The 12,231-nt window shown below is 46.3% G+C and overlaps 1 annotated feature.

The window, feature by feature from the left end:
- Window positions 11,892–11,941: an enhancer, noted in NCBI's record as "active region_10034". NCBI's record gives its function as "activates an Ori minimal core promoter by ATAC-STARR-seq in GM12878 lymphoblastoid cells {active_cell/tissue: GM12878}" and the evidence as "EXISTENCE:reporter gene assay evidence [ECO:0000049][PMID:35858748]".

Here is a 12,231-nt window from a genome sequence, read left to right as displayed (position 1 = left end):
TTCATTGATCTTTTGTATTTTTTCTTCACTTCCATTTCATATATTTCTCATCTGATCTTTATTATTTCCTTTCTTCTACTAATTTTGGATTTTGTTTGCTCTTGCTTTCCTAGTTCTTTAAGATGCATCACCTGGGTGCTGTGGCTCACACCTGAAGTCCCAGATACTTGGGAGGCTGAGGTGGGAGGATCACTTGAGCCGGAGAGGCGGAGGTTGCAGTGAGCTAAGATCATGCCGCTGTACTCCAGCCTGGGAGACAGAGTGAGAGTCAGTCTCACTCACTCTCTCTCTCTCTCTCTCTCTCTCACACACACACACACATACACACACACACACACACAGAGATGCATCATTAGGTTGTTTACTTAAAATTTTTCTACCTTTCTACTTTTTTTTTTGAGACAGAGTCTCATTCTGTCACCCAGGCTGGAGTGCAGTGGTGCCATTTCGGCTTACTGCAACCTCTGCCTCCCAGGTTCAAGTGATTCTTGTGCTTCAGCCACCTGAGTAGCTGAGACTACAGGCATGCACCACCACACCTGGCTAATTCTGGGCATTTTTAGTAGAGATGGGATTCATCATGTTGGCCAGGCTGGTCTTGAACTCCTGGCTCAAGTGATCTGCCCACCTTGGCCTCCCAAAGTGCTGGGATTATAGGTGTGAGCCACCATACCTGGCCTGGAATTGTTCTACTTTTTTGATGTAGGTGCTTACAGCTATAATTAAATATTCCTCTTAGTATTTCTTTCACTACAGCCAATAGGTTTTGGTATGTTGTGTTTCCATTATCATTTGTTTCAAGATTTTTTTTTCTGAGACAAGGCAGCATGAGCAAAAAATAACATAAAATAAAGGAATTTAAAAATTTCCCTCCTAATTTCTCATTGACCCACTGGTCATTCAGGAGCATATTGTTTAATTTCCATGTGTTTGTATAGTTTCCAAAATACCTCTTGTTATTGATTTCTAGTTTTATTCCATTGTGATCACAGAAGATACATGATATCATCTCAATTTTTTTTGAATTTTTTAAGACTTGTTTTGTCTTAACATATGGTCTGTCCTTGAGAATGTTCCATGTGCTGAGAAGAATGTGTATTCTGCAGCCATTGGATAAAATGTTCTGTAAATATCTTTTAGGTCCATTTGGTCTGTAGTGCAGATTAAGTCCAGTGTTTCTTTGTTGATTTTCTGTCTGGATGATCTGTCCAATGCTGAAAGCAAAGTGTTGAAGTCTCCAGTTATTATTGTATTGGGGTGTATGTCTCTCTTTAGCTCTAATAATGTTCGCTTTATATATCTGGGTGTTCCAATGTTGGGTGCATATATATTTACAATTGTTATATCCTCTTAGTGAATTAACTCTTTTATCATTGTATAATGACTTTTGGTTTTTGTCTTGGAATTTATTTTGTCTGATGTAAGTATAGCTACTCCTGCCCTTTTTTGGTTTCCATTTGCATGGAATATATTTTTCCATCTCTTTATTTCTAGTCTATGTGTGTCTTTATAGGTGAAGTGTGTTTCTTATAGGCAACAGATCACTGGGTTTTTTGTTTTTTTTTTTAATCTATTCAGCCACTCTCTGTCTCTTGATTGCAGAGTTTAGTCCATTTACATTCAATGTTGTTTCTTGCCATTGTTGTTGTTGTTGTTATTGAGACAGGGTCTTGCTCTGTCAGCTAGGCTGGGATGCAGTGGCATGGTCATGGTTCACTGAAGTCTTGACCTCCTGGGCTTAAGCGCTCCTCCTACCTCAGCCTCCTGAGTAGCTGGGACCACAGGTGTGTACCACCATGCCTAGCTAATTAAAAGAATGTTTTGGCTGGGTGCGGTGGCTCATCCCTGTAATGGCAACACTTTGGGAGGCCGAGGCAGGTGGATCACCTGAGATCAGGAGATCAAGACCAGCCTGGCCAACATGGTGAAACCCCATCTCTACTAAAAAAATAAAAATTAGCTGGGCATGCTGGCAAGCACCTGTAATCCCAGCTACTCAGGAGGCTGAGGCATGAGAATCACTTAAACCTGGGAGGTGGAGGCTGCAGTGAGCCAAGATTGTGTCACTGCACTCCAGCCTGGGAGACAAGAGTGAAACTCCACCTCAAAAAAAAAAAAAAATTATAGAACAGCAACTTAAGACAGGTGAGAAATAAAAATAAAAAAATACATATAAATAAATAAATTTTTTTTAATAGACACTAGGACTTACTATGTTGTCTGGGTTGGTCTCAAACTCCTGGGCTCAAGCAATCCTCTCACCTTGGCCTCCCAATGTGCTGGAATTACAGGCGTGAGTCACTGTGCCCAGCCCAATGTTATTATCAATAAGTAAGTACTTACTCTTCCCATTTTGTTATTTATTTTCTGGTTGTTTTGTGGTCTTCTTTATTTTCTTCCTTGCTTTCTTCCTTTTAGTGAAGGTGATTTTCTCTGGTGATATGTTTTAATTTCTTGCTTTTTATTTTCTGTGTGTCTGTTGTAGGTTGTAGGGTTTTTTTTTTTTTTTTTTTTTTTTTTTTTTTTTTTGAGACGGAGTCTTGCTCTGTCGCCCAGGCTGGAGTGCAGTGGCGTGATCTCGGCTCACTGCAAGCTCCACCTCCCGGGTTCATGCCATTCTCCTGCCTCAGCCTCCCGAGTAGCTGGGCCTACAGGCGCCTGCCACCACGCCCGGCTAATTTTTTGGTATTTTTAGTAGAGATGGGGTTTCACCGTGTTAGCCAAGGTGGTCTTGGTCTCCTGACCTCGTGATCCGCCCACCTCGGCCTCCCAAAGTGCTGGGATTACAGGCGTGAGCCACCGTGCCCAGCCCCTGTTGTAGGTTTTTTGTTTGTTTGTTTTGTTTTTCTGTTTTGAGACAGGTTCTCACTGTCACCCAGACTGGAGTGCAGTGGAACAATCATAACTCACTGAAGCCTCTACTTCCTGGGCTCAGGCAATCCTCCCACCTCAGCCTTTCAAGTGGCAGGGACTACAGGCATGCACCATCATACCTGGCTAATTTTTTTCTGTTTTTTTTGTAGAGGCGGGGTCTCACTATGTTGACTAGGCTGATCTTGAGCTCCTGGGTTCAAGCAACCCTCCCATCCTGGCCTTCCAAAGTGTTGGGATTACAGGCATGAGCCACCATGCCAGGCCCGTTGTAGGTTTTTTGATTTGAGATTACCATGAGGCTTGCAAATAATATCTTACAACTCATTATTTTAAACTGATGACAACTTAACACTGATTGTATAAACAAACTAACAAACAAAGAGAAAACTAATAAAATGCTACACTTCAACTTTCTTTGTTTCTGCTTCATTTTTGAAGGGTATTTTCAATGCATATACTTTTCTAGGATAAAAGTTTTTTTCCTTCATCACTGTAAATATGTCATGCCACTCTCTCCTGGCCTATAAAGTTTTCACTGAAAAGTCTGCTGCCACATGTGTTGGAGCTCCGTTGTATGTTATTTGTTTCTTTTCTCTTGCTTTTGGGATCCTTTCTTGATCCTTGACCTTTGAGAGTTTGATTATTAAATGTCTCAAGGTAGTCTTATTTGGGTTAAGTCTGTTTGGTATGCTAGAACTTTCTTATACTTGAATATTGATATCTCTTCCCCTAGATTTGGGAAGTTGTCAGTTATCATTCCTTTGAATAAACTTTGAATAAACTTTCTATCCCTATCTCTCTTTACATCCTCTTTAAAGGCCAATAACTCTTAGATTTGTCTTTTTGAGGCTATTTTCTAGATCCTGTAGACATGTTTCATTGTTTTTTATTCTTTATTCTTTTGTCTCCTCTGACTGTGTATTTTCAAGTAGCCTGTCTTCAAGCTCACTAATTCTTTCTTCTGCTTGATCAGTTCTGATGGTGAGAGACGCTGGTGCATTCTTCAGTAGCCAATTGCATTTTCCTACTCCGGAATGTCTGCTGGAGTCCTTTTAATTACTTTAGTATCTTTGTTAAATTTATCTGATAGGATTCTGAATTCCTTCTCTGTGTTTTCTTGAATTTCACTGAGTTTCCTCAAAGCAGCTATTTTGAATTATCTGTCTGAAAGGTCACATATCTCTGTCTCTCCAGATTGGTCACTGGTGACTTATTTAGTTCGTTTGGTGAGGTCATGTTTTCCGGGATGGTCTTGATGCTTGTAGATGCTCACTGGCATACGGGCATTGAAGAGTTAAGTATTTATTGTAGTTTTTGCAGTCTGAGCTTGTTTTTACCCATCTTTCTTGGGAAGGCTTCCCAGGCATTTGAAGGAACTTGAGTGTTGTGATCTAAGTTTTTGGTCACTGCATCCATATACGCATTAGGGGGCACCCCAAACCCAGTAATGCTGTGGCTCATACAGACTCACAGAGGTACTGCCTTGGCAGTCTTGAATAAGATCTGGAAGAGTTCTCTGGATTACCAGGCAGAGGCTCTTGTTCTCTTCTCTTACTTTCTCCCAAACAAATAGAGCCTCTTTGTCTGTGCCACGCTGCCTGGAGCTGGGGGAGGTGTGACACAGCACCTGTGTAGCTACTACCACTGAGACTGCACTGGGACAGATCCGAAGCCAGCACAGCACTGGGTCTCGCCTAAGCCTGTGGTAATCACTGCCTATGTTCGTCCAAGGCCCTAGTGCTCTACAATCAGCAGGTGGTAAAGCCAGCCAGGCTTGCGTCCTTTCCTTCAGGATGGTGAGCTCCTCTTGGCCCTGGGCAGGTCTAGAGATGCTCTCTGGGAGCCAGGGCCTGGAGTTGGAAACCTTAGGAATCTACCTGATGCTCTATTCCACTGCAGCTGAGCTAGCATCCAAGCCACAAGACAAAGTCCTTCCCACCCTTCCCTTCCCATTCCACAAGTAGAGGAGTCTCCCCCCATGGCTGCCATCATCCCAGGCCTGTGGTGAGTACAACTTGGCTACCACTGATATTCACTTAAGGCCTGAGAGCTCTTCAGTCAGCTTGTGGTGAATGATACCAAGCCTGAGATTTTCCCATCAGGGCAGTGGGCTATCCTCTGGCCCAGGGCAGGTCCAGAAATGTCAAGACCCATAGCAAGTATTGCCTGGGTATCATTGTGGATTATTCAGGGCCCAAGGGCTCTTTAGTAAGCAGGTGATGGATCCTGACAGGACTGGGTCCTTCCCTTCAAAACGGCAGTTTCCCTTCTGGCCCAAGGTGTATCTAGAAATGTTGTCTGGGAGCTAGGGCCTAGAATGGAGGCCTCAGGACTCTGCCTGGTGCCCTATCCTACTTTGGCCAAGCTAGTACCCAAGTTGCAAGACAAAGTCCTCTTTACTCTTCCCCCTCTTCTCCTTAAGTGGAGGAAAAGAATCTCTTCCAGAGCTGCTTGCTGCACTGCCTGGGGCTGGGGCGGGTGGGGGAGTGGTGCAAGCACTTTCTTGGCTTCCCTGGCTGGTGTCTCACTAGGTCATTTGCCCGGCAAATCCACTGGCTCCAAGCCCAGCACAGCACCAAGACTTGCCCAGGAACTGCAGTTCTTGTGGTCTAGGTTGTCTCTCAAGTTTACTTAGAACCCTAGAGCACTTTAGCCCACGATGGCGGGACTTGCTGGAACTCAAGTTCCAACTGCTGGGATGGGTGATTCCCCTCTGGCTAGGGCTGGTCTACATGCTCCCTCCATGGGTGCCAGCTGAGTTCTGCCTGGTGTTGCTTTCCACTGTGACCAGGCAGCATTGAGTTCTAACACAAAGTCCCACAGTCACTGTTTCTCTCCCACCCACAAGTGCAGATTATCTGTCTGCACCACAGGCTGCTGACGGGGAAACGAGGAGGGGATGGCACCAGCAACTCAGGACTATCTTTCCTACCCTCTTCAGTGCCTATTTCAGTGATATGAAGTTAAAACCAGGTACTGTGATCGCTCACCTGATTTTTGGTTTTTATGAAGGTGCTTTTTTGTTCACTTTGGTGTTCCTTTGGGAGGATGATCAGTGAAGGCTTCTACTCAGCCATCTTGCTCCGCCTCCATCTGTCTTCTTTTCTCTTTAACTTTTTGGTCTATTTTCTGGAAGTTTTACACAACTTGATATTTTAATATTTTATTGCATTTAAAATCTATGCTGTACTATTTTTACTTGTGAAGAACATTTTTTGTTCTTTAAATATTCCTTTTTAAGTAGTGATATTTACTTTTTGGATGTAATATATTTGATTTGTTTTCTGATAATATTAATTATGCTCTTTTTCCCCCTTTCTTTCTTTAAAGTGTCCTCCCTGCTTTGTATTTATTCCTTCTCAGTTTTCACCTACTCTTTGTTGGGGTAACTTTCAGGTAGAAACTTTCCTCAAAAGCCTGGTGATCCTTTGCTGGCTATTCATATTGAAGAGTGAGGCACTAAAAGCCTGATTAGGGGATCTGTCTTTGTGTGGAAAGGGCTCATTGACTGTGGGCCTCACTGTAGGGTGATGGAGCAGAAGTCCAGCTGGTTCACTGGGAACCCCAGATAGCAATATCTATAGGTTTTTGCCATTGGCTTGGTCAGTTTCCTCAGAGAGAAATTCTTTTGTCTCACGCCAGGAGGTTAGAGATTAACAGAAGCATTTTGGAGGCACAGTGTGGGAAGCTGTACAGATGTGAGAGGTCTCACTATTCAGAATGCCGTACCTGCCACCACAATCTCCTCTTCCCACCTGCAACTTCTGGGAACTATGAAACAGTTCTCCATGTTTATAATTTTGTCACTTACAGAAATTTTTTTAAGTGGAATCATGCAGTATACACCTTTTGGGATTGACTTTTACACTCAACATAATTCTCTGGAGATTGATCTAAGTTGTTAAGTGTATAAATAGTTTCCCTTTATTATAGTAGCATTACATGGTATGGACACATCACAGTTTATTTAACCACTCACCCATTGAAGGACGTCTGGGTTGTCTCCAGTTTTTTACTATTATGGGTAAAGCAGCTATAAACATCCATGTACAGATTTTTGTGTGAACATATGTTTTTGTTTCTCTTGGATAAATGCCCAGGAATGCAATTGCTGGGTTGTATGGTAGTTGCATGTTTAGTTTTTTATGAAACTCCCATTTTCCAGTATGACTGTTTCTGCGTTTTAAATAAAAACTTAGTTAAACATGGAAGTGTATGTTCAAAGTTCTTTTCCTTCTACTCTTTGAAGATGTTATTCCATTTCCCTGCATTGAATGTTGCTGTTGAGAAGTTAGATATCAATCTCACTCTTACTTCTTTGTAGGTGATCTTTTCCTCTCTGGAAGCTTATAGAACTTTACTTAAAATTTTTTTTCCAGGCTCTACATTAAGGACAAAAGAATTTCATTTTTGACTTTCAGACTTTTAAGATTCCACTGAAATGTATCTAGATGTGAATTTATACTTACAGACTTAGTTGGGAATGCAGTGGATTCTTTCCATATTAACATGCATTCTTTTGTATTATGGGAAATTCTTGGTTATTATTTTTTCAAATATTTTCTCTACTCTGTTTAGTCTTTTGGGGTTTCTAGTATATAGATCTATTGTTGCATTAAAAACTACCCTAAAACTTAATGGCTTAAAACAGTATTAAGCCTTTATTATCTTGTGCAATTTCTTGAGGTCAGGAATCTGGGGTGACTTAGCTGGGTGATTCTGGCTCAGAGTCTCTCAAAGTTGGAGTCAAGATGTTGGTCAAGGCTGCAATCATCTGAAGACTTGGCTGGTGTTAGAGAATCTGATTCCAGGATGGCTCACTCACATGACTGGCAAGTTGATGTTGGCAGTGGCCCTCAGTTCCTGCAAATGTGGACCTCTTTGTAGGATTGATTGGGTATCCCCCCAACATGGCAGTTGGCATACCCCTGAGCAAGGGATTTCAGAGAGAGTAAGAAGAAAGCCACATTGACATTTATGGTCTGGACTTGGAAACTACAATCTGTTAGTTCCTTAATATTCTACCAGTTACACAGGTCTGACCTAGTCAATGTTGTGAGGAGGTGGGTTGACTTCTACACAAGGAAGTGAATATCAGGAGATAGAGATCACTGAGGGCTGTCTTTGAAGCTGGCTACTATAGATCAGAACATTTCTTCTTTTCTATCTCCTGACTTGTCTTTCATTCTCATTTCTTTATCCCTTCCTGATGTCTTTTGGATGAGGTTCTCAACCAAGTCATTTAGCTCAGTAATTTCTCATTTAGCTGTATTCTCTCTGCTATTTAGCCTATGCCACTGGAGTGCAGTAATGCAATCATAGCTCACTGCAGCACTGAACTCCGGGCTCAAGTGATCCTCCATTCTCAGCCTCCCAAGTATCTAGAACCACAGGCATGCACCACCATGTCTGGCTCATTTTTGTATTTTTTTTGTAGAGACAGGGTCTATGTTGCCCAGGTTGGTCTCAAACTCCTGGCCTTAAGTGATCCTCCCACCTTGGTCTCGCAAAGCTCTGGGATTACAGGTATGAGCCACTGCACCTGGCCATCCCAAGTTATTTCAAAAACTAGTTTTTTTTTTTAAACATAAGTGTTGTATTATTTGTGCCTTATGCCCTGCAGGTGTATGCACATGAACATGTTTAAGGGGGTGGAGCGGGGGCAGGTAGCAGCTTGGGGGCAATAGCCAGCTCTTCCTCTACCTTCATTCCCAGGGCCGAGTACAGCCCCCAGCACACAGGAGATGCTGAGTAAACATGCATTGGGAGGAGAACAACATTAATAACAACACAGTGGTTATTGTCTTTTAAGTACTTGTTGTGTGTCCCTATAAACCTACAAGCACCCTCTGAGGTGGGCACTGACATTTCCATTCTGGAGGGACCTCAAGGCTGGAGAGGGGCTCTGGCAGAACTAAGTTCAGGTCTTTCTGCTCTGTTCTAGCCCTAAAATTGGGAGAATGGAATAGGAGAATGAGGAGGGCAGGACATCCATCCCTGAAAGAGGGGACCCGGTCAGTGCCCTAAAACCAAGGGTTCCAAGCAGTGTTCCCTGGGCCTCCCCATGTGCCTGGGAACAGAGGCCTGCAGCTTCTGCCACAAGACAAACATTGCTGGAAATCTGGGTGCTGGGGCTAGGCCAGCGTTTGCCTTTTCCTCCACGTCTCGGCAAAGCTACTCGAAAGTCTCTCATCCCCCAGCAGGAAAAGCATATGTTCTTTCCATATAGAGGAGAAATTGTTCCACCAGTGAGTAAGCCTCTTGGCTGCAGAGCCTGGCCCAGCCCGCAGAACACTGGACAGGAAGCTGGGCTGTGCTGGTTACCACTCCTGGAACTGGGACAGGGCTGGCTGACACCCTTGGAGACAACAATGGGCCTTCGGATGGGGCTGGGGGACAGTGGGGAAGCAGGGGCTGGGATGTGCCTGGAGACATTCAGTGGTTCAGGGTAGGAGGAACGTGAGTACACCCCTGAATAGAAGCCGCACTTTTCTCTATTCTGGCTGAGATGGGCTGGAAGAGGGGACGGAAAAGGGGACTGAGAGGGGCGGGGCAGCCTTTCCAATCCCCTCACTGGGTCAGCCCAGGAGTCTGGGTCTGAGTCAGAGGTGACTCAGGTGTGCTCAGAAAGGTGGGGCCGTGTTTTAGACTGTTATTTCCAGCTACCCAAAAAGTCTCTTTGATGCCTGCACGGTTAGGTGGCAGGCAGTGACTCTTGTCCCTGACACCTTAGTTCATCCTGCCAGTGTCGCAGGTCTTTCCACCAGCCTCAGCTGGATGGTGGATGCTGCTCTTTCCCTCAGCTCACCTGGGTCCTGCTTCTCTCTCCACCTTTTCCCCGTTTGTTAAGGACCCACTGAGAGCGGGGCTTGGGGAGTGTGGGGAGAGAAGGGACAAGGAAGCCAGGTTGTAGGAATGGGTAGGGGGGCAGCTGGCGGGGGGTAGAGGAGAAATCGGGAGGGGTTTCACATAAAAGGAAAACATTGAGAAAATGAGTACATTTAACCTGGAAAGTCAAAGACTCACGGGAGAGGATGGTGACATGAAAACCATTTGAAGATGTGTCACAGGTCACCTCATTAAAGTGGGATTGAATTTCTTGTGGGCGTGAGCTTGAGGGGGACAAACCTTGCTATGCCTAAATCCAGGGCCCCCACCCTCTGAGAAGTGCTTTTGAGAAGTTGATTTTCTGTCCTTGGACACATCCAGGCCAAGGGTAGATGACTCCCAGTCAGAAAGAGTCAGGTATCAGCTGGGAGGTGGACTGGAGTTTAGGTTTCAGACTGGTGGCCTGTGGGCCAGACACAGCCCTGACAATGTGCACAATGGCCAGCACTTGTGCATGGCCGCAGCAAGCTGGGGCTGAGTGGTAACTGCCTGCTCCAGCAAGACGTACACTCCCTGTTCCCCACAGCACAGCTGGTCTGTTTCAGTCATTTATTTTTCAGGACAGGCCCTTGAGACATTTTCATCTGTGACCCTTGGAATAGATGCCTGGAATACACCCACCTTTCTCTCTCTCTAGGTGTACCCTGTAGGCTCAGCTGGGGCAGCTGCAGGAGGAGGAAGTAGTACCTGCTAAGACGCAGGCCCTCCCATCGGCTCAGGGGACACCAGATAGCCTGAGCTGCCTGCCCTGACTGGGACCCCAGATAGGGCTCCCCGTGGGCTAGACATTACCACCTCAATAAACATCGCCTTTCCTTCTCCCATCCTCAAACCTCATCAGAATAAACCCCGCATTTGCTGGCATCGACTCCAATTGTGTTGAGGAGTCTAGAGGGGCAGCCCCAAGGCAGCTCTTGATTTTTAGATCAGTAGTGATGGATGCTGTTTATCAGCCCCTGCCCCTCCTGCCCCGGCCCCCCGCCCAGTGCTGGGCACCCTGCATACAGACTCTCAATCTTCTTTTCAGCCCTGCGTGGCAGGAAAGCCCATATGGTGGCTGCGGATACTGAGTGTCACAGAAGTAAGACACTTGCCCGCCATGACTCAAGCCAGAGCCTCAGCCCAGGTCAGCTGACTCTAAAGCTGGTGCTCTTTCTAGAGCTCTCGTTGCCTGTGTTTTACATGACTGCCGCACCTGCTGCTCTCCGGGGTCCTGCCTGCCTGGGAGTGGGGGTGGTGGGCACCTCCCCGGTTTTCTCTCCCCTCAGGGCATCTAAGCAAGTCGGGCTGGAAATTCCCTTTGAACTGCTCTGACTTCAGGAAACCTGGTTTGTCTCTCCTCTCAAGGAAGCCTGAAGCCATGGACAGAACCTTGGGCTGGGAGTCAGAAAGCCTGGGCTCACCTCCCAGGCCAGGCTGCATCATGCTCCAACCCCTCTCTGAGCCTTAGCATCTGTGGCTGAGTGAAGACTGCCTAGAGCATCCCTGGAGCAGCCCCCTAGGCATTTTTGAAGACACTGTCCCTCACACCTCATCCCAAAATGTTCATTATGCAGGTTCTGCCCTCGAAGCTTTCAGGAGGACAGACGGCCCACGGCCACCACCTGGTGGCCAGTCATAGCCAGACAAGGCCGACGCACCCAGCAGCCTTGAAGGCACGTAAGAAATCATAAAACTGCAGGGGGCTGGGTCATCACCTTGAAACCCTGTGGACAGGGTGGGAGAGAACCCTGTGAGAGTAGATTGCATCTCCCACCTCTTCCAGACACGGGAGGGGGCCCTCCAGCTTCCCAGAGGTCAGTGGCTCAGATGGGAGGCATTGCCATCCTAGGACAGCTGAGGGGAAAAAAACACTTGAGTTTGGGGATCAGGCAGGTCTGGATTGAAATCTCTTGGGTTCTTAACCTTGGTCGAGTCCCTCATCTGTGCAGTGGGCCATTTGGGACCCATCTTGCCGGGCTGTGGACCTCTCTGCATGAACAGGCAGCCAAGGGAGGCGGCATGGGGAGAGGCTGGACCTGTGACTGAGTGCACCTTGGTGGCGCCCAGCCCTGGGGCCAGCTCTCAACTGTGGCTGCACATCCTAACACCTGATGCTTAGGCAGTGCTTCTCTCATAGCATGGCCCCCGGGCCAGCAGCAGCGGGGAACTTGTTAGAATGGGGAACTTGCACATTCTCGAGCTCCACCGCAACCCACTGCATCTGAAACTCTGGGGGTGGACCCAGCACCTGCCAGGTGATGCAGTTGCTCACTGTAGTGTGACAGCACCGTGTTCAGGTGCTGGGATGGTTGAGAAAGCACTGCAGGTGACTCAAAAACCCTAGGACCAGAATCACCTGTGGAGGTTAAAAAAAGGAACAGCTTGGCCAGGTGCGGTGGTGGCTCACGCCTGTAATCCCAGCACTTTGGGAGGCCGAGGTGGGGTGGATCACTTGAGGTCAGGAGTTTGAGACCAGCCTGGCCAACA

This window comes from Homo sapiens, chromosome 15 (assembly GCF_000001405.40).
Source record: "Homo sapiens chromosome 15, GRCh38.p14 Primary Assembly".
In the NCBI taxonomy this organism is placed as follows: domain Eukaryota; kingdom Metazoa; phylum Chordata; class Mammalia; order Primates; family Hominidae; genus Homo; species Homo sapiens.
The sequence above is the reverse complement of the archived record's forward strand: the minus strand, read 5'-3'. Positions and strand labels throughout refer to the sequence as shown.